This window comes from Homo sapiens, chromosome 8 (assembly GCF_000001405.40).
Source record: "Homo sapiens chromosome 8, GRCh38.p14 Primary Assembly".
NCBI lineage: Eukaryota > Metazoa > Chordata > Mammalia > Primates > Hominidae > Homo > Homo sapiens.
In genome coordinates, this window is record NC_000008.11 from 135,923,387 (window position 1) to 135,924,502 (window position 1,116).

The following is a 1,116-nucleotide window of genomic DNA, read 5'->3' on the forward strand; positions in this document are numbered from 1 at the left end:
TGGCCTTCGTCAGCTACTCTCCATAAAGGAATAGGAGAGCTGCCAAGAGACTGATTCTCAGATTGTGTGAGGAGTGGTTTCCATTGTAATATGGTCAGACTGCATCTCATTAGGCAGAGACACTGGGGCCAGTGTAGTGTGAGAGACGAGAACAAGTAGTCAAGTTAAAACAGGAATTGAAATTATTCCAGGAATTCAAGTTTCTCTTAAAAGATTCTTAACACTCCTTTCCCTTTTGTCCACCTCCCCTGAGCCTGGCTTTTTCCCCCTTCAGGTCTCAGCTCATCTACCCCTTCCTGCCAGCAGCCTCCCCTCTTCTCTAAGGTGGTGCTGGGGACTCCTCCAAGGCCCCACATGGCATCCTGTGCTTCCTGCTCTGGTGGTGCTTGTCAACACCAGCCACACACTCACCTGGGAGCTTTTAAGAAATGATAATTTTTAGATCCCACCACTAGAGATTCCCATTCCAGTAGTCTGGAATAGCCCTTGGGCATCACCAATTTTAAAAAGCTGGTGGTGGCTCAAGCCTGTAATCCCAGCACTTTGGGAGGCTGAAGTGGGAGGATCAAAGGTCAAGAGATCAAGACCATTCTGGCCAACCTGGTGAAACCCTGTCTCTACTAAAAACACAAAAGTTAGCCGGGTGTGGTGGCATGCGCCTGTAGTCCCAGCTACTCGGGAGGCTGAGGTGGAGAATTGCTGGAACCCGGAATGGGAAGGTTGCAGTGAGCCAAGATTGTGCCATTGCATTCCAGTCTGGGAAAAGAGCGAGAATCCGTCAAAAAAAAAAAAAAAAAAAAAAAAAGAAAGAAAGAAAGAAAGAAAGAAAGAAGCTGCCCAATTGATTTTCCAGTGCTTCTAATAGTGGGCACACTGCTCCAACTGCAGCCCTTCTCACCTCACATTGCAAGTTCCTCCTTACTTATGCACATCTTCCCTTAAACTGTAAATTCTCAGAGTGTAGGATTAATAAGTCTACTGTCTCAGATTCATATAAGCTGGCACATATGGGTGCCCCATAGTCATCTGTTGAAAGGATGATGAGTGATGAAGACTGACGTATTTCTCTAATGCCACTACAAGGCTGCCATCTGGATTTTTCCTGGGGTCCTCCCA

The 1,116-nt window shown here is 46.7% G+C and overlaps 1 annotated feature.

The window, feature by feature from the left end:
- Window positions 298-377: an enhancer, noted in NCBI's record as "active region_28023". NCBI's record gives its function as "activates an Ori minimal core promoter by ATAC-STARR-seq in GM12878 lymphoblastoid cells {active_cell/tissue: GM12878}" and the evidence as "EXISTENCE:reporter gene assay evidence [ECO:0000049][PMID:35858748]".